The 5,003-nt window shown below is 46.4% G+C and overlaps 2 annotated features.

Annotated features, from left to right (window-relative positions):
• Nucleotides 1,407–1,496: an enhancer, noted in NCBI's record as "active region_15700". NCBI's record gives its function as "activates an Ori minimal core promoter by ATAC-STARR-seq in GM12878 lymphoblastoid cells {active_cell/tissue: GM12878}" and the evidence as "EXISTENCE:reporter gene assay evidence [ECO:0000049][PMID:35858748]".
• Nucleotides 2,072–3,056: an enhancer, noted in NCBI's record as "OCT4-NANOG-H3K27ac-H3K4me1 hESC enhancer chr2:46456039-46457023 (GRCh37/hg19 assembly coordinates)". NCBI's record gives its function as "activates a minimal SCP1, AML or CMV promoter by ChIP-STARR-seq in naive H9 embryonic stem cells {active_cell/tissue: H9 hESC(naive)}" and the evidence as "EXISTENCE:reporter gene assay evidence [ECO:0000049][PMID:30033119]".

Below are 5,003 nucleotides of genomic sequence, written 5' to 3'. Positions count from 1 at the left end.
AAGACCAGCTTCAGAAACCACGTGACCCCACCTCCTAGCTCTCAGTTGATTAGGTCAGCCTGGGTACCTCTGTTTTCCTTTGCGGCCAGGCAAGAACATTCGGCCCAAAGGAATATTGGCACTAATTGGATCAATAGATCCTTCCCCTGGGGGATTGTAAGTGGAGACATAGAAAAAGACAGGTAGCTGGCTGGTGTTGAGAGTAGAAGGAAAAAAGCAAAGAGAGCAGCAGAGGGCTGTGTGTCCTTCTGTGAGAGTAGAGCACAGAGCTGAGGAGGTAACAGGGTGGCCCTACCTCTGAGCCCCTCATCTGTACCCCAGTCTCCACAAGCCCTGACCCTGCTCTTCTCCTTGCTCTTTCTTGGTGGCGCTTCCTGGCCTTTGCCTAGCCACAGTGTTGACTAGGTCTAGCCACACGGTTGACTTCCCTGTGCATCCTCACCTGGCCTCCCCAACTCACTGCAGAAAGCAACTTGGTCTTTACAGTTAGCTCCATAAGGAACCAACGCCTTGAAGGGCAGGCTGGGAGCTGGAGTTCTAGTTCATGGCTAGTGGGATACTTAGAAAATTTCTGAGCCGTTTAGGAATGTCTCTGGCAGCAGAATGGAGAAGGGGATAGAGCAGAGCCAGCCTGGGGTTAGGACAGTGGTCAGGAGGAGCTCCCGGGCCCCAGAGGAGAGGATCTGAAGGGGAATTGGGACAGCAGCTGTGGGGTGTGTCACATAAGAGGAAACCAAATAGCCAATCAACAGGTGAAAAGGTGCTTCACAGGCCCAGTTCTAATATCTGTGAGGCTCAGAGCCCCTAAGTCTAGTGATAGCCCAATTCACATCTTAATATTTCAAAATTATTGAGTTAACAATCATTAAGTAAAGTACATTCTATCCTTCTAATTTTGCAAATACACATTCATTATGACCTGGAAGGCCAGGTTGAAATTCAGAACATTCGGTTCCTGGGAGTTCCATGCCTGAATGTGGTGGTTCAGGAAAAGCAGGTCCCCAGCCCCCAGCCTCCATCCCACCCGCCTTTACTTCCTGTCCCCAGCAACATCCTGTCCTGCAGAGGACCTCACACTCATGCCAGGGGACACTCCAGCTTACATGTCCAAGCTCCACCCTCCCCCCAGCAAACTACTGCCCCATGGCTGCTCTCCAAACTGGAGATGATGGGGATGCTTGTTACCACTTACCCTAAGAAACAGGCCTGGGGGAGCAGCCCATGCAACCTGGTTTGGGAACATCTGGGCAAGGAATTCCAGAGTCCTGAGCACCAGCTTCATCCCTGACTAACTGGATAACTCAACCTCCATGAGCCTCAGTTTGGTCACCTCTAAAGACTCCATAAAATGTCCTCTACTAGGTTACAATATTATGAGGTAAAAACATTACATAACTCTAAGTCCAGATGTTAGCCCAGTGCATTTAACTGGGCTGCGTGCTAACCTGACAGCTTGACCCAGGCTGCGGGATGTCACCAGGTATAGGGGTCAAGCTGAGACAGGGCTGGGCTCCAGTGGAACCCTCCTGCTGCCCTGCTGGGGAAGGGGAGGAAGTGGCTAACCAGCACCAGCCACAGCCCCAGGGCCAGGTGAGCAGGAGCCTTGACTCTGTCCCCTGGGCCTCCTCTGGCCTCAGAGCGATCCCTGCCTTGGCGGGGAGGCCTGCCTGGGCACTCGGAGCTCTGGCACCACCCTGAGTTGGGTAACAGTATTCCTGCCTCGCAGCTGTGTCTGCCCACTGGGCTGGCTTGCAGCTTGGGGAGGCTGGTGTGTGTGCCAGAAACAGGGAGACCTATTTTTGCCCCAGCCACAGGCCCATGGCCAGAAAAAAAGTTAAATAAAGATGATTTTGTTTTTTCTTGGTGTATAGAGTGCAACTCACTTACTTTTTAACAGACAAGATCAAAGGATCTCTTCAGTAAGAATAATGAATCGTAAATGAATGCAGGTCTACAATGAGACCAGCAAAATGGGGAACTAGAAGGGAGGAAAAGGGGAGGGAGAGAGAGTGAGGGAGAGCTGGAGGGAGAAAGACAGGTGGATAGAGACAGGAAAAACTGGAGTGAGAAAGAAAATCCAGTATCAATAAGCATCAATACCCTGAAGGGGTGATGAGAAAGAGAGAGACAGATACCAAGAGAGACAGACGGATGGAAAAAGAACAAAGACTCAGTGGGGTTTTCGGACTGCAGCAAAGGAGGTGGTGAGATGACGCATATTCGGATGTGACTTCATCCTGGTTAACCATTATTCAAGCTCTTCAATTGTTGCACTCTACGAACCCACAGGGAGTCCATTCTCAGTGAACTAACACAAGCAGGCCATAGCAGAGGAAGCTATTCCATTACCACAAGTGCTGTCTCAAGCCAAGGGGGCACATTTACCTGGAACATCCCTGTCATGTCCTTGAATGAGGGCAGGGGAAGGGTTAACCTGCAGCAGACTCTGGTAGACAGCTTCCATCCCACCTAGTGGTGAGGATAATCAGAGAAGGAAAGAAATCTCCTTCCATATAGCTTTTCAGAACAGCAGGGTCCCAGCTCCAGCCAGGGAAGGCTGCGCACCCGGGCCCAGTGAACTTGAACCAATTGTTTCACAAGATGAGATCTGACAAGCACCAGGGAGACAGCCCTACCCCAAAATATCTTTCCCACTGCCTGTCAGGACTTTGGCCTCCATTGCAAGGTAACAACCTCAGTCAGGGTAGGAGTCAGGAAGCCCAGCGGGGAGTCCCCAGCAGAGCTTTCCATGCCCGGATTCCCCATCTTAAGTGGGGATAACATTCCTTTCCTGCTCATTTCCCAGGGCGGTTATGAGAACCAGTTTGTCAATGGATATGCAAGATCATGGCTTGAGTTTGAATCCTGGCTCTGGTATAACTGGCTGGGTGGTGATTCTCGTCCTATGTTCTGCCACCTATAATAAGAAAAAAACAAGGTTGTTGTGATAATGAAGAAAAGTAATGTTTGTAATGATCTGGTACCAGCTGGTGGCCATAGAAATTACTTAGGTATTGGCCAGGCATGGTGGCTAACACTTGTAATCCCAGCACTTTGGGAGGCCTAGGCAGGAGGATCACTTGAGCCCAGGAGTTTGAGACCAGCCTGGGAAACATGATGAGACCCTGTCTCTATTAAAAAAAAAAAAAAAAGCCAGGTGTGGTGGCACACCTGTAGTTCCGCCTATTCTGGAGGCTGAGGTGCAAGGATTGCCTGAGCCCGGGAGGTCAAGGCTGCAGTGAGCTGTGATCATAGCACTGCACTCTAACTTGAGTAAAAGAGTGAGGTTCAAAAAAAATTACTTAGGTACTTTCCCTAAAAGTAAATCTATTTAGCTAAAATTATTGGTATTTCTGTGTATAGAGAACCATCTCACCCTCTGGACCCAAATGCATCTATTCTGGAGGGAAGCACACACCTAACCTGTCATTAACATCTTTTTCAAACATTTTCCAATAGGATAGGTAGCTGAGAGCAAGTTTCTGATGGTCTGCTATCTCACAGCAGAGGTAAGACTTGATAAAGAAAGAGGGGTGAGAAATTGCTCCACAGTTGGGGCACTGCCTGGGTTCCACCCAGCAATCAATCAATTCTCTGCCTGGTAAATTCTCACATGTTCTTGAAGACTCGATCCAGGTGTCACTTGTCAGTGATGCCTTCTCTAGTCAGACATTTTGACTCCTGTGAGTCCCACCAGTCTTTGTCTATAACCATTATATTGTATTTCTCACGTTTTACTGTAATTGCCTCTCCTATCAAACTGTGAGTTCTTTGAGAACGGGGACTGCATCATATTCAATTCTGCCTCACCAGTCCCTGCTTGGTCCAGAAAGGCACTCAAGGTCTACTGAATAAATACCCAGGCGTGTCTCTCTGCTGGGAGGACCAGAAATATTTAACCTGTGAGAGGATACTTCTAGCTATCAAAATAAAAGTTCTTTCATGTGCATGCTTTCACAGATTACAAATTTATATACCTGTTGCCTCATTTGCTTTTCACAGTAGTCCCACAGGGTAGATAGGAAAGGCGCTGTATCCCATACGACAGCTAAGAAGAACTAAGAGAGGCCGAAGGGTTTGCTCAAGGTCACCCACCTACTGAGTAGCCGAGCCAGGACTGGCACCCAGGTGTCTTGAATTCTAGTCCAAGACAAATCTGCTGAAGGCTTGCTGGGTCAGGAAAGTACAGGTCAGTGGGGAATATTATTTTCTAGGTTTTTTCTTTGAGCCAAAGAATTATATAACTTTTAAAGAAAGCTTGTTCTGAAAAAAAAGTCCAATAGGCAAAACATACAAAACATATGACAGCAGACTGTTACATTATTTTGTAAGTTCAAATTTATTACATTTAATCATGATTAAGTTGATCAATGAGAACAGCAAAACTGTTGTAAATCACACAGAAAAATGTAAAGTTCGATGTGCATGACCTCTGCAGCCAAGTGAGCTTTATTATCCAATGCATTTTTATTTGGAATCATAATCATTGTTTAGTTTTACAGCTTGCATTAGGAACAGTAGCTAAGAACTTTCTATTGACCATCCAGTAGGTGCCAGATCATTACAAATGACTTGTCTTCATTTGTCACACATGCAGACTCATAACTATAAATACTATTAACATTTTTTTTTCTGAATTAAGATATCTTGTCCCCTTTTCAACATGAGCACGTGCAGAACAGCCACTCTTAATGATGCACCTAGTAATCTGTGGGAAGAACGTATCATTTGTTTAGCAAGTTCTGTACTGAGAGACGTTTGTATTATTTTCCACTGAGTATCTTCAAACATACTGCATACTTCCATGAGTTTATCTGTAGTATAAAACCCCAGAAGAGGGGTTACTCAAAGAGCAGGTGAATTATACATTTTCATAGATATTCCAAATTAGCCTTCAGTGAAGTCTTTCCCAATTCACACTCTCATATACTGTGTATGAGGCTGCCATTCTGTCCTCACCATTACCAATGACGAGTACATTATTTTTTTATTTGATGCCAATA

This window comes from Homo sapiens, chromosome 2 (assembly GCF_000001405.40).
Source record: "Homo sapiens chromosome 2, GRCh38.p14 Primary Assembly".
Lineage (NCBI taxonomy): Eukaryota > Metazoa > Chordata > Mammalia > Primates > Hominidae > Homo > Homo sapiens.
The sequence above is the reverse complement of the archived record's forward strand: the minus strand, read 5'-3'. Positions and strand labels throughout refer to the sequence as shown.